Source organism: Homo sapiens, chromosome 12 (genome assembly GCF_000001405.40).
Source record: "Homo sapiens chromosome 12, GRCh38.p14 Primary Assembly".
NCBI classification, from domain to species: Eukaryota; Metazoa; Chordata; class Mammalia; order Primates; family Hominidae; genus Homo; species Homo sapiens.
The window spans coordinates 124,863,035-124,886,341 of NC_000012.12; the positions used below are offsets into that span (position 1 = coordinate 124,863,035).

The 23,307-nt window shown below is 51.5% G+C and overlaps 1 protein-coding gene and 1 long non-coding RNA gene across 20 annotated transcripts in view, besides 6 other annotated features; one reads left to right on the forward strand and one right to left on the reverse strand.

Annotated features, from left to right (window-relative positions):
• Window positions 1-830, reverse strand: part of SCARB1 (scavenger receptor class B member 1) — an 87,009-nt gene extending 86,179 nt beyond the window's left edge. For all 19 annotated transcript variants that reach the window (NR_160418.1, NR_160420.1, NR_160422.1 and 16 more), the window contains exon 1: window positions 561-830. Coding sequence is in view for 10 of the 19 variants with exons in the window: in NM_001367988.1 (NP_001354917.1) it covers window positions 561-686 (126 nt within the window). In the remaining 9 variants the exon portion in view is untranslated. The remainder of the gene's footprint in view (window positions 1-560) is intronic.
• Window positions 368-1,047: a silencer, noted in NCBI's record as "silent region_5067". NCBI's record gives its function as "represses an Ori minimal core promoter by ATAC-STARR-seq in GM12878 lymphoblastoid cells {active_cell/tissue: GM12878}" and the evidence as "EXISTENCE:reporter gene assay evidence [ECO:0000049][PMID:35858748]".
• On the forward strand, window positions 1,028-14,543 carry LOC105370050 (uncharacterized). Its single transcript, XR_945488.3, has 3 exons — window positions 1,028-2,570; window positions 3,564-3,642; window positions 14,456-14,543. It is a non-coding gene; the product is annotated as an uncharacterized LOC105370050 (long non-coding RNA).
• Window positions 1,278-1,477: an enhancer, noted in NCBI's record as "active region_7306". NCBI's record gives its function as "activates an Ori minimal core promoter by ATAC-STARR-seq in GM12878 lymphoblastoid cells {active_cell/tissue: GM12878}" and the evidence as "EXISTENCE:reporter gene assay evidence [ECO:0000049][PMID:35858748]".
• Window positions 2,865-3,034: an enhancer, noted in NCBI's record as "experimental_25236 CRE fragment used in MPRA reporter constructs". NCBI's record gives its function as "activates a minimal promoter by MPRAs in K562 erythroleukemia cells, with activity observed for both the introgressed and non-introgressed 12:125350530 variant alleles {active_cell/tissue: K562}" and the evidence as "EXISTENCE:reporter gene assay evidence [ECO:0000049][PMID:34662402]".
• Window positions 3,463-4,662: an enhancer, noted in NCBI's record as "BRD4-independent group 4 enhancer chr12:125351043-125352242 (GRCh37/hg19 assembly coordinates)". NCBI's record gives its function as "activates an origin of replication core promoter dependent on BRD2, P300/CBP, MED14 and CDK7 cofactors, and independent of BRD4, by STARR-seq in HCT116 cells {active_cell/tissue: HCT116}" and the evidence as "EXISTENCE:reporter gene assay evidence [ECO:0000049][PMID:35650434]".
• Window positions 21,545-22,232: an enhancer, noted in NCBI's record as "H3K27ac-H3K4me1 hESC enhancer chr12:125369125-125369812 (GRCh37/hg19 assembly coordinates)". NCBI's record gives its function as "activates a minimal SCP1, AML or CMV promoter by ChIP-STARR-seq in primed H9 embryonic stem cells {active_cell/tissue: H9 hESC(primed)}" and the evidence as "EXISTENCE:reporter gene assay evidence [ECO:0000049][PMID:30033119]".
• Window positions 21,634-21,683: an enhancer, noted in NCBI's record as "active region_7307". NCBI's record gives its function as "activates an Ori minimal core promoter by ATAC-STARR-seq in GM12878 lymphoblastoid cells {active_cell/tissue: GM12878}" and the evidence as "EXISTENCE:reporter gene assay evidence [ECO:0000049][PMID:35858748]".

Genomic DNA, 23,307 nt, shown 5'->3' on the forward strand with positions numbered 1-23,307 from the left:
GGAGAGGGTTCCTATGGGGAGATTCTGGGCAGTGGAGGATGCTCAGCTGAGCACCTACCATGTGAGCTGGGCACCCACGTGGGTCTCACAGAAGGTTCCTGTCCTCCTGGGCTCACAGGATACAAGCAAAGTGCAGCTCTAATTTTACCGGACCCTGCTACCGGCTGCTGTGAAAGCAGACGTTCACACACTCTTGGGCTCCTTCGGGCGGCACCACGGAAGCAACCTGTCCACACTCCTGATCCGTCGTGGGCGCCCAGACCCTTTAGGGCGGGTCAGGCGCCCGGGTGGTCTCCCGTCCAGGCCTCCCCAACCCTGGCCTGCGCCTCCAGCAAAGCCCCTGGGTTCCCCCCTAGCCTCAGTCTGGGGCGGTGAGGGTGGTGGGGAGGCGGGCAGCAGCCCCTCCCGAAGCGCCTGGCCTCCCTCGTGCTCTGCGGCGCCAGGCCCGGGCGCCGATTCCGCTGCGGTCGCCCACCCACCGCAACGCGCGGGTCCTCCCGGCGCCCAGCGCCCAACAGCCCGGGTCCGTGCGCGGACCCCCTGGGGTCTCCCTCACCCACCTTAAGGACCTGCTGCTTGATGAGCGACGGCACCATCACGATCATGACAGCGCCCAGCACAGCGCACAGTAGCCCCGCGACGCCCAGCGCCCCGGCAGCCCAGCGCGCTTTGGCGGAGCAGCCCATGTCTGCGCGCCTGGGGCCCACCCGCGGCTCGCAGGGCTCCGCGCCTGGCAGGAGACGGGGACGGCGACAGAGACGACACAGGCGGGGACTCCGGGCACGCAGGCCGCAGAGGCACGGTGGATCCGGGACGGCAGCGCACGCAGGAGCAGCCCGGCAGGTGGCCAGTGGTTTTATGCCCCATCGCCGGCGCCGCCGGACCGCCCCCGGGCAGCCTTGGGCTTCAGGATTCCGGCGGCAGGGGCGGGGCCTGAGCGGGCCCGGGGCGGGGTCGGGGCGGGGACGGGGCGGGGCGCTGATCGGACGGGCAGGGGGCGGGGCCATGGCCGCCAAGACAAGCCCCGCCATGCTGCCGCTGCCCCCACGGCCTCGCTTCCGTTTTGGGGCGGGAGCTGAGGAGGCCTCGTGGCCGCTGAGCCAAAACGTCTATGGGGCCTGGTGCCCCTCACCCTCTTGCTCCCTTCCCCTTTCTCCTACCCCTTCCCCCACCTATGTCTCCCCTCCTCCCAGCTCTCCCCTCTGAGCCCCTCACCCTTCCTTTTCCCTCCTCCTCCCTCTCCTCCTCTATCGGGACCATCATCATGGTTGGTCACTGTGAGTAGGACTTCGCCAGCCCACCCAGGAACCCCAGAGCCCTTACAACGGTCCACATGCCCCGCCACCACCTTCTAGACCCTCATCTCCGCAGTCCATCTCCAGCCTCACTGTCCCTGGAAGAAGCCCCGCAGGCTCCAGCCCCAGGGCCTCCATACACCCTGCACAGGCAATTCTGTTCTCCCAGGTATCCGCCTGGCCCTATCCTTCGTAACGCTGGTGCCACCATCACCCTATGACTGAGCACCCCCTGGCAGGTTCACGTTCATTTGCGTCCTTGCATTCTGACCATGTGCTCCAACTGGGATGCCAACCCGTGAGGCGGGCCCCCCCCCCCACGCGTCCTGAGCTCTAGAACGTGGCCTGGCAGGGAATGCCTGCTCACAGTAAATATTCTAGAATGAATGACTGAGGAGCCTTCTAGGTGCTGGCCCCTGTCCTGAGTGCTTTGCACACAATGGCTCCATTTTACAATAAGAAAACTGGGAGGTGGCTCACGCCTGTAATCCCAGCACTTTGGGAGGCCGAGGCGGGTGGACTTCATGGATCACCTGAGGTCGGGAGTTGGAGACCAGCCTGACCAACATGGCGAAACCCCGTCTCTACTAACAATACAAAATTAGCCAGGCGTAGTGGCGCATGCCTGTAATCTCAGCTACTCGGGAGGCTGAGGCAGGAGAATCGCTTGAACCCGGGAGGCGGAGGTTGTGGCGAGCCGAGATAGCGCCATTGCACTCCAGCCTGGGCAACAAGAGCGAAACTCCATCTCAAAAAAAAAAAAAAAGAAAAGAAAAAGAAAAAGAAAGAAAGAAATGAAAACTGATGCACAGGGAAGCTTAGTTAACCCAAACCAAGTCCCCACTTTCTAATGAAGAGGGAAACCAATGATGAGCACGTGAGCAAATGAATGAAGGATAATTGCAGGCAAGTGCTCCAAGAAAACAGAACAGGCCCGGTGCATGGTGGCCCACAACTGTAATCCCAGCACTTTGGAAGGTCCAGGTGAGGGATCACTTGAGGCCACTAGTTGGAGACCAGCCTGGGCAACATAGTGAGACCAGTCTCTACAGAAAATGAAAAGATTAACCAGCCACAGTGGCATGCGCTTGTCGCCCCAGCTACTCAGGAGGCTGAGGCAGAAGGATCCCTTGAGTCCCAGAGTTCAAGGCTGCAGTGAGCCCTGATCTTACCACCGCACTCCAGCCTGGGTGACAGCAAGACCCTGGGGGAAAAAGAAAAAAGAAAAAAGGGAGAGAAGTGGGCTGGCACTAAGTGGCAGTTGCCCTTAGATGGGTGAGTGTATCCCTGAAGCCCTCCACGCCCCCCTGAAGTCCTCCACCACACCCCACCTGGCCTGCCTTCTGGTCCCTGAAGTGCTGGCCAGTCCCCTCATTTTCTGAATGAAGTTACTGAGAAGAGACTCCTGGGTTACACAGGGACAGGAGGGTGGTGTCCCCAGCACGTGGGTAAGGCAGGCTCAGTCCTTGAGTGCTCCGAGGGAGGCTTTCTAAACCTCTTATTTAACTCCAGAAGAAAGCAGCCTTCTCGCAGGGCCATCCTTAAGCAACATGTCTTCGCCTGAACCAATATTTACAGAGCACCTGCTATGTTCTCGTTAGACAGCTTTGCCTGGCACTGCCTTCCTCTAAGGAGGCCGAATATGGTCCAGTGCCCCAAGGGGCAGGGCCCAACTCCTGAGGGAGGTCAGAGTGGCTGAGGTGAGACTGTGGTAGCCCCGGGGGACAGGTTCAGAGAAATCCAGGCTCTGGGGTTTCCCACATTGGAGTCCTGGGGCAAGTGGTTTGGGCCTTTCTGTGCCTCAGTCTCCTCATCTACGAAACGGGGATTAGAAGAGCCCCTTTCCAAGGGCTACCATGAGGATTAAACAAGTCAAAAAATGTGCCAGTGCTTAGAACAGTCCCTGGAATGTGTCAGTGCAACTGAGCTGGGGAGTGTCGTCGTTATTTTCCGGACCCACATGAACTGGCGCCTGCCCATCTCTCTGCCTCCATCTCCTGCCCTCTCCCCCATTGTTTCAGTTCATTGAGCATCCCCAGCTTTTTCTTGTGTCAGGAACTTTGCACTTCCTGTTCCTCTGTCTAGGATACGCTTCCCCTAGATCCTTCCATGGCTCCCCACTCTCCTCTTCTGGGCTCAGCTGAAACCCACTCCTCAGAGAAGCCTTTGCTGTTGCATCTGTTGAAAACAGGAGTCCCAGCCCACTCTGTCAGGCCACCTTGCTTTGTGTGAAATGGTCTTATCTGTTTCCTTGTTCATCTCCTCCAGCTCCCGAGAGACAGAAGCTGACCCTGTTTTGCTTATCGATGTATCTCCAGCACCTGGAAAAATGCCTGGCACATAGCAGGTACTCAATAAATACTTTACTCAATCAGCTAATTAACTCATTAATTAATCAAGTAACTGATCGATTGATTAATTAATTAATATCACTTCATTGAATTCCTTAAGGCCTTCAACAGCCTTCAGCTATGCAGTTGCCTTTTTTTTTAATGACTTTTGTAGTTCTCGGAAATTAGCCAGTTAACTAAAATCTGCGGTCTGCCTGGCCCTGACACCCTCCTCCACTTCCTTGATACTGACCTGCCTTGACCATCTCACCCAATCTAACTCTGATTCATGACCAAGTCTTCAAGGTCCAAATGTACGTGATGCTTACCCAAGAGGGCTGCAAGGCCATGGCTGGAGAGCCCTCATGTCACGCCATGCTGTCACTCGAGAGAGAAGGGCAGAGATGAAAGGGTGATGGGACACGTGAGCCACCTTGGCCTTGCTGAGGGGAGTCACTTCCGGTGGCAGGGAGGGCAGCTTAAGAAGGGAAAAAAAGACTTCGTCATGTTTGAGAGAGAGGTCTTGCCCTGGGGAAAGTCGAAGATACAGAAGAAAAGAAAGAGTGCTGATAACAAAATATGATCAACATGGTGTCACAGGGCTCCTGGAAAATCAAGTCAGATGCTTTTCCTCCTCTGCTCAGAGTCCTTTCGTGATCAAAGACGGAGAATGACTGCAGGCAAAGACCTGGAGGAGTTGGAAGCCTCTTGAGGTGCTTGTGGGATTGTAAAATGGTGCAGCCTCAAAAGGTAAACATAGGGGTCCCCTAAGACCCAGCAGTTCCACTCCTGGGTATATGCCCAGGAGAAAGGAAAGAGCATGTCCACACGGAAGCCTGGACACAAATGTTCACAGCAGCCAAGCAGTGAAAATAACCCACACCCCCATCAGCTGGTGAATAGGTAAATAAAATGTGGCATAACCACGCACTGGAATATGACTCAGCATAAAAAGGAATGAAGGGCTGACGCGTGCTACACCATGGATGAACCTTGAAAACATTGATAAGTGAAAGAAGCCAGACACAAAGGCCACATGTATGATTCTGCTTATATAAAATGTCCATAGTAGGCACATCTATGGGGACAAAAAGTAGACCAGTGGTTGCCAGGGGCTGGGGAGAATGAGGAGTGACTGCTACAGGTTTGGGGTTTCATCTTGGAGTGGTGAAAATGTTCTAAAAGTGACGGTAAAAGTGATGGTAATGATGGTTGCACAACTCCGTGAATATACAAAAAACCATCAAATTACACACTTTATTTACTTTTTCTTTTTTTCAAGAGACAGGGTCTCACTCTGTCACCCAGGCTGGAGTGCAGTCTTGAAGTCTTGGGTTCAAACCATCCTCCCGCCTCGGCCTCCTGACTAGCTTGGACAACAAGTATATGCCACTATGTACACCTGATGTTTTCATTTTTGTTGAGACAGGGTCTCACTTTGTTGCCCAGGCTGCTCTCAAAATTCTGGTCATCCTCCCACCCTGGCCTCCCAAAGCGCTGGGATTACAAGTGTGAGCCATCATGCCTGGCCAAATTATATACTTTAAATGGGTGAATGTATGATATGCAAATTATATCTCAATGAAAACTGTTATTTTAAAGAAATGGCCAGGCATGGTGGCCCATGCCTATAATCCCAGTGCTTTTGGAGGCTGAGGCAGGAGGATCCCTTGAGGCCAGGAGTTCGAGATCAGCCTGGGCAACACAGCCAGACACCATCTCTACAAAAAATAAAAAGTTAGCCAGGTAAAGTGGCACACACCTCTAGTTTCAGCTACTGAGGAGGCTGAGGTGGGAGAATCACGTGAGCCCAGGAAGTCGAGGCTGCAGTGAGTGAGCTGTGATTGTGTCACTGCACTCCAGCCTGGGCAACACAGTGAGACCCTGTCTCTCAAGAAAACAAAAAGAAAGAAACCTTTCCGTGGCTCCCACCTCATTCAGCATAAAAGCCAAAGCCCTCACCATGGCCCACAAGATCACCACATCTCATACTAGAGAGACAAAGTCAAAACGCACCCAGATGGGCACATCTCCCTGACCTCATCCCCCTCCCTCTCCTTGCCCACTCTGCTCCAGCCACATCCTCCTCCCTGGAGCTCCTCCACCTGTTGCCCGGCTCGTGCCCCAGAACCTTTGCACTCCCTGGTCCCCTCCTGGAATGCTCCTCTCCCTAACACCCAGGAGACTCACCCTCCCTTCCTTCAGGTCCTTGCTCCAATGCCATCTTCTCAGCAATGACTTCCTTCCTGCCCACCCTTTGAAAGTTACAAACCACCCATAGGACCCTCCCTATCCCCCTTGGCTGCTTCATTTCTCTCTGTGCACCGACCGCCCTCCAGGGCGGGTGTTTGCTTGTTTGATTGGCTTCCTTCCTCTTCTAGGATAAAAAAAGCTCCACGGGGCAGGAATCTGCCTGTTTCGTCCATTGCTGTGCCCCCGGCTCCCCAACAGCACGTGGCCCACAGTAGGCCCTTGGTCGGTGTGTGTGGATGAACCACATCTACCAGAGTCCAAGGTAAAAGCTTGCCTCTGCCGCCGGAACACGCAGCTGCCTGGCATGGCGGCCTGGGGCAAGTTGCTCAGCCTCTCTGTGCCTCGGCTCCCTTATCGGTGCCTTGGGATTGGTCTGAGTCATGCCTGCACCCTGGGGTGGTCATGAGGATTACATGGGCTCATCTTGGTCATATGCTTAGCAAGGTGCCTGTGTGAGGCGGAGCCAACACCTCCTGCAGGCAGCCGCATTCCCACCCCAGCCTGGGAAGAATCACGCTCATCCCCAGCGGCAATAGAACACAGTGAATGGAAGCTGAAGGGCTTCCTTAAAGGAGGCACAGCTGGCTCCTGGCGAGCAGAGAGCAGAGATGTGAACCAGTGACTTGCCACACACATGACCACTACGCTGTTTGCTGAGGGAAAGGAAAAAGAGGAAGAAAGTGAAGGAAAGCAAAGAGACGGGTGAGAGAAAGGACAAAATAAAAAGCAAAGGAAGAGGAAACCTTATTTTTTTTTCTTTTGAGGTGGAGACTCGCTCTGTGGCCCAGGCTGGAATACAGTGGTGTGATCTCAGCTCACTGCAACCTCCGCCTCCCGGATTTAAGCAGTTCTCCCTGTCTCAGCCTCCTGAGCAGCTGGGATTACAGGTGCATGCCACACGACTGGCTAATTTTTTTTTTTTTTTTTAAGAAGAAGTCTTACTCTGTCGCCCAGGCTAGAGTGCAATGGTGTGATCTCAGCTCACTGCAACCTTCTCCTGGGTTCAAGCGATTCTCCCGCCTCAGCCTCCTGAGTAGCTGGGATTACAGGCACCTGCCATCATGCCTGGCTAATTTTTGTATTTTTGTAGAGACGGGATTTCACCGTGTTGGCCAGGCTTGTCCTGAACTCCTGACCTCAGGTGGTCCGCCCACCTTGGCCTCCCAAAGTTCTGGGATTACAGGTGTGAGCCACTGCACCCGGCCAATTTTTGTATTTTTAATGGAGATGCAGTTTTACTATGTTGGCCAGGCTGGTCTCGAACTCCTGGGCTCAAGTGATCCACTCGCCGCGGCCTTCCAAAGTGCTGGGATTACAGGCGTGAGCCACCGCGCCCAGCCAGGAAAGCATTGTAGCCACATCTGCCACCTGGATTGCTGCTGGTGAGGGAGGAAAGAGAGCTCACGTGTGCCTGCTGGATTCATTCAGTTCACGTTGAGCTCCTACTCTGTGCTGGGCACTATGTTGGGCGTTTGGGGACCCAGCAGGGACCATAAGCAAGCCCCTAGCCTTGCGGGTCCGGTATGTTAATAGACAAGCAATAACAATTAGTGATAAACATCATCATTGGTGGATTTTATAAAATGTTAGAGCTATGGGCACGGTGGCTCACACCTGTAATCCCAGCACTTTGGCCGAGGCAGGCACTTTGTTTGAGCTCAGGAGTTTGAGACCAGCCTGGCCAACATAGCAAAACCCTGTTGCTACAATAAATTAAAAAAAAAAAAATTAGCTGGGCATGGTGGCACGCACCTGTGGTCCCAGACACTCAGGAGGCTGAGGTGGGAGGATCACTTAAGCTCAGGAGGCAGAGGTTGCAGTGATCCAAGATGGCATCACTGCACTCCAGCCTGGACGACAGAGCAAGACCCCATCTCAAAAAACAAAACAAAAAGATATTAGAGCTGTGCTATCCAATACAGTAGCCACTGGCCCTATGTGGCTATGGGACACTTGACCCGGGGCTAGTCTGAATGAGATATGCCATGTCATATACATCCCAGACTTCAAAGGCTTCATATGAAAAGAGCGTAAAACATCTCAATATTCTTATATTGATTACACATTGAAATGACACTATTTGAATATCACCGATAAGGGAGCCGGGGCACAGAGAGGCTGAGCAACTTGCCCCAGGCCACCATGCCAGGCAGCTGCGTGGCCCGGCGGCAGAGGCAGGCTTTTACCTTGGACTCTGGTAGACGTGGTTCATCCACACACACTGACCAAGGGTTGAATAATATTACAAGTTAAATTAATTTCACCTGTTTCTTTTTACTTTTTAAAATATGACCCCTAAAATTCTTTTACCTTTTTTTCTTTTTTCAGAACAGGTTCCTCTGTCATAAAATTTTTAAAATTGTGTGTGTGGTTTGTGCATGCTGCATTTCCATGGGACAGGCAGTTAGAGGACGATGCGTGCTTTAGGGGAAAAACAGAACAGTGTAAATGCTACTGGGGGAGAGGGGTTGCCATTTAAATGGGGTGTTTGAAGACAGCCTCAGTGAGAAGGTGACATTTGGGCAAAGACCTGCAGGAAGTGCAGGAATGTGTTGAGATCCAGGGAAGAACATTCCAGGCAGAGGGAATAGCCAGGGCAACGACTCTGAGGCAGGAGGTGCCTGCATAGATTTTAATCAGAATGCGAATCTCTCATGTTGCTACAAGTGACTTTTTAGGAGCTGTTTCTCTTCAGTAGGTCAAAATGCCCCCTGCAATATTGTGAATATCAGAGAAGGTCTCCAGAGCCCCTAAACAGCCCCTCCAGAAACTTAGCCTCTGCCCCTGGACTTTAGCCCCGGTGCTAGAGTCTGAATGTGTCCCCTGAAATTTGTACGTTGAAACCTAATTACTATGTGATGGTATTAGGAGGTAGGGCTTTTGGGAAGTGACGAGGTCATGGGGGCAGAGGCCTCATCGATGGGATTAGGGCCCTGACACACGAGGCTCTAGAGAGCTGCATCTCCCCTTCCACCAGGCAAGGACACAGAGAGAAGCTGCCATCTGTGAACCAGGACGCAGGGCCTCACCACCATCAAATCTGCTGGCGCCTTGATCTTGGACTTCCCACCCTCCAGAAATGTGAGAAATAGATGTCCGCCGTCTGTAAGCTCTCCCCGTCTATGGTACTCTGTTTTAGAAGCCTGAGCAGACTGAGATGCCCTGTAAATCCTGTCTTCCTTCAGAATCACGCCTTTCTGAGTCCCCGATCACTGACTTCCCTCCAGGAGTCTTTCCTCTCTGACTCAGGGCTGGCGATCAATCCTTGCCTTTGTCCCTGGCCTTTGGGGACTCTGATATGTCCTCTCTGGCAAGGGCTAACCCTCCAACACAGACGTGCTTTCCAGGACAAAGGTGCAAGTGTGTGGGGAGGACCCAGCTGGCAGCCGCGAGCTAATACGTTGCTCCGTGGGCCAGGTCACTGGAGGACAGAAGTTTCTATCAGCTGCCACTCTCAACAGCAGCTGGAGAAAGGAGGATGATTCCTATCCCAGGAACCAGAAGATTCCTCTGAGACCACCTGGTCCTGTCCTACCTACCAGAGAAGGGATGGACATGCTCATTCATTCATTTATGTGGCAAATACTTGCTGAGCACTCGCTATGTATCAGGCCTACTGTGTGCTAGGGCCTGGGGGTAGATGGGGAAGAAAGCAGGCAGGTCCTCTGTGCCCTGGCCTTACTTTTTTTTGAGACAGGGTATGGTTCTGTCACCCAAGCTGGAGTTCAAAGCTCACTGCAGCCTCCACCCCCTGGGCTCAAGCGATCCCCCCGCCTCAGCCTCCTACAGACATGTGCCACCACACCAGCTAATTTTTTGTTTTGTTTTGTTTTGAGACAAGAGTCTTGCTCTGTCGCCCAGGCTGGAGTGCAGTGGTGTGATGTCAGCTCACTGCAGCCTCTGCCTCCCGGGTTCAAGCGATTCTCCTGCCTCAGCCTCCCTCCCGAGTAGCTGGGACTACAGGCGCCTGCCACCACTCCCAGCTAATTTTTGTATTTTTTAGTAGAAATGGGGTTTCACCATGTTGGCCAGGCTGATCTTGAACTCTTACCTCAAATGATCCACCCACCTTGGCCTCCCAAAGTGCTAGGATTACAGGTGTGAGCCCCTGCACCCAGCCAAGCTAATTTTTTTTAATTTTTATTTTTTTTAATAGAGATGGGTGTCGCACTATGTTGCCCAGGCTAGTCTCGAACTCCTGGAGTCAGGCGATCCTCCCACCTCGACCTCCCAAAGTGCTGGGATTATAGGTGTGAACCACCACGTCTGGTCTGCCCTGGCCTTTTTAGTAAGGGAAAGAGAGAGAGATATTAAAATATATATATGTTTTTTTATTTATCTATAAATATATGTATAAGCAAATAAATAGATAAGGATTATAGATGGTGCTACGTGCTAATGAGAGAAATAAAAAGGTAATGCCACAGGGAGATGGGGGCTGGCGGGGGGAGACCGGAACCTGGGGAGGACCTTTCTGGCAAACAAACCAGCAAGTGCAAAGGCCCTGTGTCAGGGAGGTGCTCAGTGTGCCCAAGGAACAGACAATCAGGGACCCCTGCACCTTAGACGGTGCAGTCACCCCGGTTTATACCTCTTGCCCCAATAGTATCATTAATAGCACCTCCAAGTCACTGCATGTGGGGTGGTCTGTGATACCCCAACTGCACTGCACTGAAACACACAGGCTGGCTGCAGCTCTTGAGCAGAGGTCACGGTCCCTGGAAGGCAGACCTCTCTCGACTCCTCTCTCCTCCCGGGTTCCAGGTGACACTCCCTGCCCTCCTCCCCTCAGCCCCAGGGTGGGGAGCAGCTTCACTCTCCCTTTCGTTTTCCCTGCTCCTTTGTATATATCTTCAAAGTCCCCAATTTTGAGTGTTCTCTCCACTTCCTGCTCAGACTACTACAGGAACTGATTCTGTGGTGGGAAAGGAATTAGAGGAGAGAAAGAGAGGCTCAGAGGCAGTGTCCAGCAGCTGCGGTAGAAGCCTGGAGGTAACGGCCAGCGCAGTGGCTCACGCCTGTAATCCCAGCACTTTGGGAGGCTGAGGCGGGAGGATGGCTTGAGGCCAGCAAGTTCAAGACCAGCCTGAGCAACATGGTGAAACCCCATCTCTACTAAAAATACACAAAATTAGCCAGGCGTGGTGGCACGTGCCTATAGTCCCAGCTACTCGGGAGGCTGAGGTGGGAGCATTGCTTGAGCCCAGGAAGTAGAGGCTGCAGTGAGACACGATCGTGCCACTGCACTCCAGCCTGGGCAACAAGAGTGAAACCCTGACTCAAAAATAAAGAAAAAAAGAAAGTAGGCTGTCTTTAGGAAGAAAAAAAAAAAGAAGAAGAAGGCTACTAGTTTTAACTGACTAATAGTTTAAAACAGCAAGTCTGGAGCCAGACAGTCCAGGTTCAAAACCCTGCTCTCCTATGGACACGTTACTTAACTCTCTGGGCCTCGATTGCCCCATCTGTAAAATGGGGCTAATAAGACCCACCTCAGAGGTGTGGAATAAGTGAATCGCTTGAACCTGGGAGGTGCAGGTTGCAGTGAGCTGAGATCATGGCACTGCACTCCAGCCTGGGCGACAGCAAGACTCTGTCTCAAAAAACAAAAAACAACAAAAAGAAATTAACATAGAATTACCATGTGATGCATCAATCTCATTTCTGGGTATCAAAGAAATGAAACTGGGAACTTGAAGAGGAATCTGGCCACCGCGTTCATTGCAGCGCTGTTCACGATGGCCCAACGGTGGGAGCAACCCGAGTGTCCGCTGATGGGTGGTGGGTAAGAAGCTGGGGCCCATCCACACGGTGGAATAGGATTCAGCCTGGAAAAGGAAGGACTTTCTGACGCACGCTGCGACATGCACGGGCCTTGAGGAAGTTATGCGAGTGAAATAAGCCACAACAGGACAAATACCGTACGATTCCATTTGCATGAGCTCCCTAGAGTAGCCAGATCCACAGAGACAGAAAAGAGAATGGTGGGTGCCAGGGGCTGGGGGAGAGGGAAAGGGGAATTATTGATCAATGCATATGCAGTTTCTATTTTGCAAGATGAGAAAGTGCCAGGAGGGATGGTGGTGATGGTTACACAACAATGTGGATGTCCTTAATGCCACTGAAATGTACACTTAGAAATGGTTAAGATGGTAAAAACAAACTACACAACAAAAGGCTGAGCCAGAGAGAGGGTAGGAGCCTCCCACAAAGTGCAAGTTTGGGGTCAAGAAATCTGTTAGGAGACTTGAGGGGACCTGAGCAATGAGGAGCAGCTGTGATCTGTCTTTGATCGAGAACCAGGGAGGCAGAGATAAGATGTGAGTGGGGCGGGCTCAGGGAGGACAGCAGGTCCACCGGGCCCTCTGGAGTGTTCTCTGCGCCTCCAGACAGGGAAATGAGGGGACTCGGGGCCCCCAAACTGTCCCCAAGCCCACTCCTGGCGACTTTCTAACTTTTCCACCCTGTCCTGAGCCACAGAGAAAAGTGCTGGCGAGTGTGACAGGAGTCCGTGTCAGCTTCCCTGAGCAACACAGACTCAGACCCAGGGTCTGTCCCAGAAAGGAGTCCCCACCACACGGGGAGGAGGGATCGGAGCCGCCCAAGAGGATTTTTGTTATATTCACACTCTGGGCGACACAGACTGGATTTCTAGGCAAGTTGCTCACCTTCTCAAGGCCCTGGCTGCCCCTCTGAGCCCCAGGTATTCCCTCTGAGCTCCAGCTGCCCTTCTCAGCCCACAGTATCCCCTCTGAGTCTTGGGTGCCCCTCTGAGCCCTGGGCCCCCTCTGCACAGTGGGAATGAGAGGTGTACCAAGGTTGGAACAGTGGATACAGCCCCCAGCCTATTCAAACTCGGGTTGCTATTTCTTATCACTGTGCACCGGTAACTCTAAAAAATGTCAGCGATAAAACATTCCTCCTGAAACAATCTTTTATTGGTCTAAGTCTGAACTGGGAGTTGGCAAACTACAGCCCGAAGGCCAAACCTGACCCCCAGCCTGTTTTTGTAAATAAAGTTTTATTGACCTGACCCCCAGCCTGTTTTTGTAAATAAAGTTTTACTGGAACCCAGACACACCTATTCATATAGTTTATGGCTGTGTCCAGGCTACAGTGGCAGAGTTGAGGAATTTTAACAGAGGCCCTGTAGTGCAAAAAGTTAAAATAGTTATTATCTGTTGCTTTACAGAAAGAGTTTGTCAATCCTTGGACTAAACAATTGCTGTGGTTGAGTTTTAATAATACATATGTGAGTTTCAGATTAGTACAATCATATTACTTTCCTTTTAATAAATATTATATTCCTCATGGAGTTTAGTTCAGAGAACTCCACATGCCCCTGCACACACACAGACACACACATTGACACACACAGACACACAAACACATGCAGAGACACACACAAACACAGACACATTGACACACACAGACACACACATTAACACACTCAGACACAAACACATGCAGAGACACATACAACACACAGACACACAAACACACACACAGACACACACATTGACACACACACACGGAGACACACACATTGGCACACACAGACACACAAACACATGCAGAGACGCACACAACACACACAGCCACACACACAATATTTTACTGAATTTGAATAAATATCTCTTTTTTTCTTTATTTCTACACAACAGGGATATAAAAATAAATATCAGGCTGGTCAGGGTGGCTCACGCCTGTAATCTCAGCACTTTGGGAGGCTGAAGCAGGAGGATAACTTGAGCTCAGGAGTTCAAGACCAACCCTGGCAACACAGTGAGACCCTATCTCGAAAATAATTTTTTCTAATTTAAAAGAAAGGAGAAGTTGGGGGTGGTTCACAGGTACAAAAAAAATCATTTGAAAGAATGACTAAGACCTACTGTTTGCACAATGGGGTGACTAGAGTCAATAATAACTTAATTGTACATAGTAAAATAACTAAAAAAGTAGAATTGGAGGCTGGGTGCGGTGGCTCACGCCTGTAATCCCAGCACTTTGGGAGGCCGAGGCGGGCAGATCACAAGGTCAGGAGTTCGAGACCAGCCTGGCCAACATGGTGAAATCCCGTCTCTACTAAAAATACAAAAATTAGCTAGGCATGGTGGTGGGCGCCTGTTTTCCCAGCTACTCAGGAGGCTGAGGCAGGAGAATCACTTGAATCTGAGCGGCGGAGGTTGCAGTGAGCTGAGATCGTACCATTGCACTCCAGCCTGGGCAACAAGAGCAAAACTCCATCTCAAAAAAAAAAAAGAGTAGAATTGGATTGTTTGTAACACAAAGGATGAATGCTTGAGGGGATGAACACCCCATTCTCCATGACATGATTATTACACTTTGCTTGCCCATATCAAAACATGTATCCCATAAATAGATACACCTACCGTGTACCCACAAAAATTTTAAAAATTAAAAAGATGATCCACTCAGAGGTCAAATACAAGATACATGCTGATGGGGACAAGTAATACCTCAGAGAGTTTTTGTGAGGATGAAATTAAACAAGTGTGATGATAGATACCATTGGTGCCTTTCTGAAATTCATGCTTTCTCACCCCTTCTTTCTTGAAGGCAGAGGGTCTATCTGCTTCCCGGCAGTCACAGATGCTCAAAGAGGGGGACCTCATTTTCCCATCTGGAAGAAATCCTGATTATTCTCAGCCATCTTGGTAATACAGTTCCTCTCACTACGATTGGCTTAGGGGTGGACATGTGAGCACATGCTGGTGAAAAACACGAGAGGGGGTGAGCTGGGGGAATTCTTGCAAAGGTTTCATTGCTGATAAAAATGGACCAAGGAAGAGATGCTTCCTGCATGTGTCCTGTTGGATGAGATGCCCAGACAGAGGCAGCCACTGTGCCCTGCAGAAAATGCCAGAGCAGAGAGATGCAGAGAACCTGGCTTTTCAGGGATCCCCTTGACATTGAAACTGAGAGCCAGCTGGGCGCAGTGGCTCACGCAGGTAATCCCAGCGCTTTGGGAGGCCGAGGCGGAAGGATTGCTTGAGGCCAGTAGCTCAAGACCAACCTAGCCAACATAGTAAGACCCTGTCTGTATTTTTAAAATAAAAATATAAATAAATAAAATTTAAAAAGAAATTGAGAACGCCAGGCCCCGTGGCTCATGCATGTAATCCCAGCACTTTGGGAGGCCAAGGTGGAAATATTGCTTGAGGCCAGTAGTTCAAGTCCAGTCTGGCCAATATAGTGAGACCCTGCCTCTATTTTAAAAATAAAAAGCCTGGGCACAGTGTCTCACACCTGTAATCTTAGCACTTTGGGAGGTCAAGGCAGGTGGATCACCCAAGGTCAGGAGTTCGAGACCAGTCTAGCCAACATGGCTAAACCCCGTCTCTACTAAAAATACAAAAATTAGCCGGGCATGGTGGCACATACGTGTAATCCCAGTTACTCGGGAGGCTGAGACAGGAGAATCGCTTGAACCTGGGAGGTGGAGGTTGCCATGAGCCAAGATCACGCCATTGCACTGCAGCCTGGGCGACAGAGTGAGACCCCATCTCAAAAAAAAAAAAAAAAAAATGAAATCGAGAACCCCAAAGCTGCCCTATCTCAGGACTTCCCCTTATATGGAAATAATAAATATCTTTATTGTTAAACCTCTTGGGTGCTTTCTAGGACTTTCAGCCAAAAGCAGTCTCAATGGCTACAGATATAAACCCGGCTGGCAAGTAGCCAGCAGCCACAATCAACAGTTTTATTGACTTTGTCCTTCAGTGAGTATTCACGGAGTGCCCTCAGTGCACCAGGACTGGGCACTACAGCTCATGAAAAGGGGTTTCTTTCCTAGAGGTGCACTCCAGAGGCTGCAGACAGACACCAAAGCAAGTCCAGGAATAAGGCATCAAAACAGCTTCAGATAATGTTCAATACTGGCAAGAAACAAAACCCAGCGGTTTGAGAGAGAGCGAGGGAGGGTGTGGGCTCTCTGGAAAGGTGACATCTAACAGAGAACTGAATGAAGAGCCAACCATGGGAAGACCCAGAGAGAGCATTCCAGGCGGAGGGCACGGCACACGCAAAGGCCCTGAGGTAGGAGTGAACGTTGTGCGTCGGAGGAACTGAACCGTGGAATGTGAGAGCATCACAATCGTGGCAGCAGCTTTCAAGAAAGTATGTAAAAGCGAACAAAAGGTCCACAGTCCGAATTTCTCGCCTCCCTTTTTTTAAATTTTTTAAATTTTTTTTTTTTGAGACAGGGTCTCTCTGTCGCCCAGGCTGGAGTGCAGTGGCGCAAACTTGGCTCACTGCAGCCTCAAACTCCTGGGCTCAGGCAATCCTCCCACACCAGCCTCCAGAATAGCTGGGACTACAGGCACCTGCCACCATGCCTGGCTAGTTTTTGTATTTTTTTTGTAGAGATGAGGGTCTCACTGTGTTGCCCAGGCTGGTTTCAAATTCCTTGGCTGAAGGGATCCACCTGCCTCGTCCTCCCAAAGTGCTGGGATTACAGGCATGAGCCACTGCACCCAGCCTTCTCCCCTTTTCTTTGGGCTTTTGCTCCCGGGCCCAGTGTTTAAGGGCTCTGCTATGTTGGAATCGGAGATGAGTTTTTGAGGTTCACTTTCTAACTCAAGAGAACCACCTGACCTCTCACCGTGCATGGGCCTGAAGAACACAGGCTCTTTTTTTTTTTTTTTTTTGAGACGGAGTCTCACTCTGTCACCAGGCTGGAGCGCAATGGCGCAATCTTGCTCACTGCAACCTCCACCCCCCGGGTTCAAGCGATTCTCCTGCCTCAGTCTCCCAAGTAGCTTGGATTACAGGCGCCCGCCACCATATCTGGCTAACTTTTGTATTATTAGTAGAGACGGGGTTTCACCATGTTGGCCAGGCTGGTCTCAAACACCTGACCTCGTGATCCGCCTACCTCGGCCACCCAAAATGCTGGGATTACAAGCATGAGCCACCATGCCCTGCCAAACACAGGCTTTTAAAATGAAAGCCGAAGTTTCATGCTTCAGCATAACCAAACAGCTCCATGTCCAGCTAGTCCCCATCTGTTTTGCCTGTTTTCCTACTGGACCAACATTTTCCTTCCTGCCCAGAAAACTGCAGCTCTTGCCACTGGCCCCTTGTCTCCAACACCCACCCGCTCTGCCCAGGGCCCACTGAGGCCCAGGGATACCGTCCACAGCATCAGAGAGGCCAGCTGCCATGGAGCGAGGCAGGAGGTGCCTCCCTGAAACCAGCGTGGGTACCAAGAACACTGGAGCTTAGGAGATGCCCTTACCCTTCAACGCAGAACCACAAAGCTGTCAGTTTCTTTCCTGAGGGGGAACTGTTCTTAGGCTGCAGGCCGAGGCGTCTGCCAGGGATGGCTGGAGCCCACAGAGAAGCTGGTTCCAAAAATATTCTTTGGGCTGGGCGCAGTAGCTCACGCCTGTAATCCCAACACTGGGAGGCCGAGGCAGGAGGATTGCTTGAGCTCAGGAGTTCAAGACCAGCTTGGGCCACTTGGCGAAACCCCATCTCTACAAAATACAAAAATTAGCTAGGTGTGGTGGCAAACGCATCTGTAGTCCCAGCTACTCCAGAGGCTGACTCAGGAGGATCGCTTGAGCCCCGGAGGTTAAGGCTGCAATGAGTCATGATCACGCCACTGCCGCCCAGCCTGGGTAGCAGCGTGAAACTCTGTCTCAAAAAAAAAAAAAAGGTGGAGGGGGCCAGGCGTGGTGGTTCATGCCTGTAATCCTAGCACTTTGGGAGGCCGAGGCAGGTGGATCACTTGAGGTCAGGAGTTCGAGACCAGCCTGGACAACATGGTGAAACCCATCTCTAATTAAAATACAAAAATTAGCCAGGCATGGTGGTGGGCACCTGTAATCCCAGCTACTTCGGAGGCTGAGGCAGGAGAATCACTTGAACCCAGTGAGCCGAGATCACACCACTGCACTCCAGCCTGGGAGACAGAGCAAGACTCAGCCTCAAAAAAAAAAAAAAAAAAAAAAAAAGACAAAACAAAAACAAAAACAAAAATATCCTTTGGAAAACAATGGGCAGAAATATCTTTCTGGACACATCTGGTGGTAGCTGAGGCTCCTGTTTGGGCAGGGATGGGCAGTGCCAAGGAGGACCACTGGATACACACTCACAGGGTCATTTGTCAAACTTCTTTTCAGAGCAAGGTTTTGCTCTGTCACCCAGGCTGGAGCGCAGTGGGGTGATCACAGCTCACTGCAGCCTCAAACTCCTGGGCTCAGGTGATCCTCCCTAGTAGCTGAGACAACAGGCACCCGCCACCACACCCAGCTCTGTCAGACTGTGCCGACTGAGCACTTCCTATGGGCAAGGGGGCACGTTAATCACCTTCTCATAAAGATCACACACCAGTGGGACAAAGAGATTCTTCTCACACCAATGAGTCTGCCGTGACACCTGAGAAAAACGCTTTCAGGGAGAGGAATCCACCTCGGTGAGGGCGCATTCCAGGGGCACAGAGTGGACCTTTTTCAAAGCGAGTGGGATTGTGTTACTTCCTGCTTGAACTCTGTTGGTTTCCTGTTGCATAAACTCCAGGTCCTCCCCGGGCTGCCCTCCTCTGCCTCCCTCTCCGCTCTCTGGGATGCAGCCACCCTGGCTTCCTTCAGGTTCTTCTTATGGGGTCAGCCTGTGCCCACCGCAGGACCTCAGCACAGGCTCTGAGCCCCGCTTCAAATGCTCCTCTTGTTTAAAAGGGCTCCACGGAGGCTTTTTTGAGGGGCAGCTCCAACATCACCTCCTCAAAGAGGCCTTCCTCAACCAGCCCATCTAAAGTAACCCTCTTCTCTGGCACAGTGGCTCACACCTGTAATCCCAGCACTTTAGGAGGCTGAGGTGGGCCGATCACTTAAGTTCAGGAGTTCGAGACCCTCCTGGCCAATATGGTGAAACCCCATCTCTCCTAAAAATACAGAAATTAGCCAGGTGCGGTGTGCACCTGTAATCCCAGCTACTCGGGAGGCTGAGGCAAGAGAATCACCTGAACACGGGAGGCAGAGGTTGCAGTGAGCCGAGGTTGCACCACTGCACTCCAGCCTGGGCGACAGAGTGGGACTCTGTCTCAAAAAAAAAAAAAAGAAAGAAAAGATTAACTGGGCGTGATAGGTGTGTCTGTAGTTCCAGCTGCTCCGGAGGCTGAGGCGGGAGGATTGCTTCAGCCTGGGAGTTCAAGGCTGCAGTGAACCACGATTGTACCACTGCACTCCAGTCTGGCCAACAGAGTGATACCCTGTCTCTAATTAACGAATGCTCTTTATGTCGTCGTCCTGTTCTATATTCATCACACCCTGGCATCATCTGTCCTGATTTTTCACCACTTGTTTCCTCCATGTTTCTGTAGAGAAACACCACGAGGGTGCTGAATCCCCAGCACCAGCACAGGGCCCGGTGCATACAAGGGGCATGATGGTTTGTGGAATGAATGAATGAATGCATGAATGAGGGACCTAACCCCATTGGAGGAAGTCAGGAAAGGCTTGCTGAAGAAGTGGTATCTGAAGTGGCATTGACGGGTGAGAAGGAGTTGGGCTGTGCACCCCGACTTTGGCCAGTGATTAGAACTCCCTGGGGGCCAGCGCTTGTACCCCGCCCTCAGCGGTTTCCCAGGGTCTGGGTCGGGCACAGGGGTTGGTGTGTGTTGAAACTCCCTGTGTGATTCTCATATGCACACTAGGCTGAGAACCGTTCATCATGGGCCTTTGTTCTCCTCCAGGTGTTCTCCAGAGCAGCAGCAGCACCAGGCCACCTGGAAATGTGATAGAAATGCAGGTTCTCAGGCTGGGTGTGGTGGCTCACACCTGTAATCCCAGCACTTTGGGAGGCCAAGGCTGGAAGATAACTTGAGCCCAGGAGTTCGAGGCCAGCCTGGACAACATAGTGAGATCCCATCTCTGCAAAAAAATTTTTTTTTAATTAGCCAGGCACGGTGGCAAGTGCTTCTAGCCCCAGCTACTCAGGTAACTGGGTAGAATTGTGTCCCTCCAAAAAATGATATGTCCAAGTCCTAGGCCCCTGGTCCCTGTGATTGCAGCCTTATTTGGAAATAGGGTCTTTGCAGATGCAATTAAATCAACAGGAGGGCCTGCGGGATTCGGGCGGGGCCTAATCCAATAGGACAGGGGTCCTTATAAGAAGAGGGACATCGGGCCGGTGGAAGGATCTCTTGAGCCTGGGAGGTCGAGGCTGCAGTGAGCCATGTTCACACCACTGCACTCCAGCCTGAGCAACAAAGCAAGAGCCTGTCTAAGAAAGAAAGAGGAAGGAAGGAAGGCAGATTCTGAGTCAAAGAAAGGAAAATTGATTCTGAGTGAAAGGAAGGGAGGGAGGGAGGAAGGAGGAAGGAAGGAAAGGAAGGAAGGAAGGAAGGAAAGAAAGAAAGAAAGAGAAAGGAAGGAAGGAAAGAAGAAAGAAAGAGAAAGGAAGGAAAGAAAGAAAAGAAAGAAAGAGAAAGAAAGAAAGAAAAAAGAAAGAAAGAAAGAGGGAAAGAAAAGGAAGGAAGGAAGCAAGGAAGGAAGGAAAGAAGGAAAGCAGATTCTGAGTTCTCACCCCAGACCTGTGACTCAGACACTGGGGAGTAAGGCCCAGGAATCTGCATTTTCACAAACCCTCCAGGGGCTTCTGACTCACTCTGGAGTGATGGGTGAAGTGGAATCTTCCAGAAGGACAAATGCTTTCAGCCATGTCTGGTGTCAGAGGCAGGAGCTCCCACACTTATGTGCTGCCTGGCTCCTCACCAAGACAGGTGCTAGACTATCTCTGAGACTATCTTTTCCCTTGAGGCAGCTGAGAGCTGGAGCAGCTTCAGATGCCTCCAGATCCTGGGCCCTTGAACTTCAACTCGAACTTGGCTCTAAAGTGTCGCCCTCAGCAAGAGTCAACGCAATTGGGCCCTGGCTCCGTGAGGTGGACAGGGGCCTTGCTCGCTCCTTCTTCCCCAGCCCTGCCCCATGGGGGAGAGAGAGAGGTCGTCAGGTGAGACGGAGTTTGTTTCAGCAATGTGTTTATGAGTCCCAAGAACTTAGGATAAAGTTTCTGAAATACTAGCCTGAGGATGTCCCTCTTTGAGAAAAAGGGAAAAAGGACACCGCGGTTACCCCAGCTTTGTTATTCATGTAACAACGGCAGGGCATTTGAGTTCTTTCTGTTTTCATCCTACTTCCACTCCCACATCTAATCACTAACATTTCTCTTGTTTTGCTGTTTGTTGCTTCCTTTCATTCTCCCCATCTGAGGTGGGTAGAATTGTGTCCCTCCAAAAAATGATATGTCCAAGTCCTAGGCCCCTGGTCCCTGTGATTGCAGCCCTATTTGGAAATAGGGTCTTTGCAGATGCAAATGCAATTAAATCAAGAGGAGGGCCTGAGGGATTCTGGCGGGCCCTAATCCAATAGGACAGGGGTCCTTATGAGAAGAGGGACATCCGGCCGGGCGCGGTAGCTCACGCCTATAATCCCAGCACTTTGAGAGGCCGAGGTGGGCGGATCACCTGAGATCAGGAGTTCGAGACCAGCCTGCCCAACGTGGTGAAACCCCGCCTCTACTAAAAATACAACAAATTAGCTGGGCGTGGTGGTGGGCACCTGTAATCCCAGCTGCTCAGGAGGCTGAGGCAGGAGAATCCATTAGAACCCGGGAGGCGGAGGTTGCAGTGAGCCAAGATCGTGCCACTGCACTCCAGCCTGGGCAACAAGAGCGAAACTGCACCTCAAAAAAAAAAAAAAACAAAAAAGAAGGAGAAGAAGGACATCTTGTCACAGAGGCACATACAAAATGTCATGTGCCATTGAGGCAGAGATTGCAGTGCTGTATCTGCAAGCCAAGAAATGCCGAGGGCTGCTGGCAGCCACCAGAGGTCGAAGGAGGCAAAGAAGGCTTCTCCCCACCCCAGGCTTCAGAGGGCTCTGCTGATGCCTTCGTTTCTGATTTCTGCCCTCCAGAAAGGTAAGAAATGCATTTCTGTTGTTCTGAGCCACCCAGTTGGTGGCACGTTGTCCCGCAGGCCCAAGGGACTTACGTACCCTCTCCACCCTCTTCCTTTAGCCCAGCGAGCATTCTTGCGCTTGAGCAAACAGCAGAACCACCTGGAGGTTTAGTGAAACCCAGATGGCTGGCCCCGCCCCTGGAGTGCCTGATTCAGTAGGTCTGGGTGGGCCTGATAACTGCATTTTCAGCAAGTTTCCTGAACACGCTGGTGCTGCTGGTCTGGGGACCACACTTTGAGAACTGCTGATCCAGATCACACCATCTCCTGCCTGGATGACAGCTCCAATCCCCTAACTGGCCGGAACCCTCTCCCCTCCTCCCTTCCCCCTCCACCGGCAGGCAGGCTGAGCTTCCTAAAACACCTAGGAAATTGTCATTCCCCAGTGTAGAATCTCCAGGGGCCTCTCACGGTCTGCAGGACAAAGTCCAAACACCTTCGCAGGCCACTGCAATTGCCTGGTCTCAGCTGAGGTGCTCAACACAGACTCCCCACCCACCCCCAGGCACAGGAAGGAAGGGAGAAAGAGATGCTTTCAAGAATTGTTTTTGTTTTATCAAATAATTGTGAATAGACATAGTGTTAGTTTGCTAGGGTTGCCATGCAAAGCACCACAAACCGGGCCGCTTAAAGCAACAGAAAGCTGGGCGCAGTGGCTCATACCTGCAATCCCAGGTCTTGGGGAGGCCGAGGCAGAAGGATCACTTGAGTCCAGGAGTTCGAGAGCAGCCTGGGCAACATGGCGAAACCTTGTCTCTACAAAAAAATACAAAAATTACCTGGGTGTGGTGGTGCCTGGCTGTACTCCCAGCTACTTGGGAGGCTGAGGTGGGAGGATTATCTGAACCCAGGGAAGTTGAGGCTGCAGTGAGCCGAGATTGTGCCAGTGCATTCCAGCCTGGGTGACAGAGTGAGACCCTATCTCAAAAAAATACAAATATATGAATAAACAGAAAGTTTACTCTCTGGAAGTTCTGGAGGCTGGAAGTCTGAGATGGGGATGTCTGCAGGGCCACACTCCCTCTGAAGGCTCCGAGGCTCCTTCCTCACCTCTTCCAGCTTCCAAGGGGCTGGCTGGCAATCCTTGGAGCTCCTTGGCTTACAGATGCCTCTGCAGTCATGGGGCCATCATGACACCATCTTTCCCTGTACATCTGTGTTGACAAGATGGCTCTGCTCTTACAAGGACACCAGTACTGTTGGATTAGGGGCCCAACCTACTCCAGCAGGATGTCACCTTAACTCATCTGCAATGACCCTACTTCCAAATGAAGTCACATTCTGAGGCGTCAGAGGATGGGGCTTCAGCATATCTTTTTGGGGAACACAATTCAACCCATGACAGATTTTATTTTTCTTTTGAGACAGGGTCTGGCTCTGTCACCCAGGCTGGAGTGCGGTGGCACAATCGCAGCTGACTGCAGCCTTGACCTCCTGGGCTCCA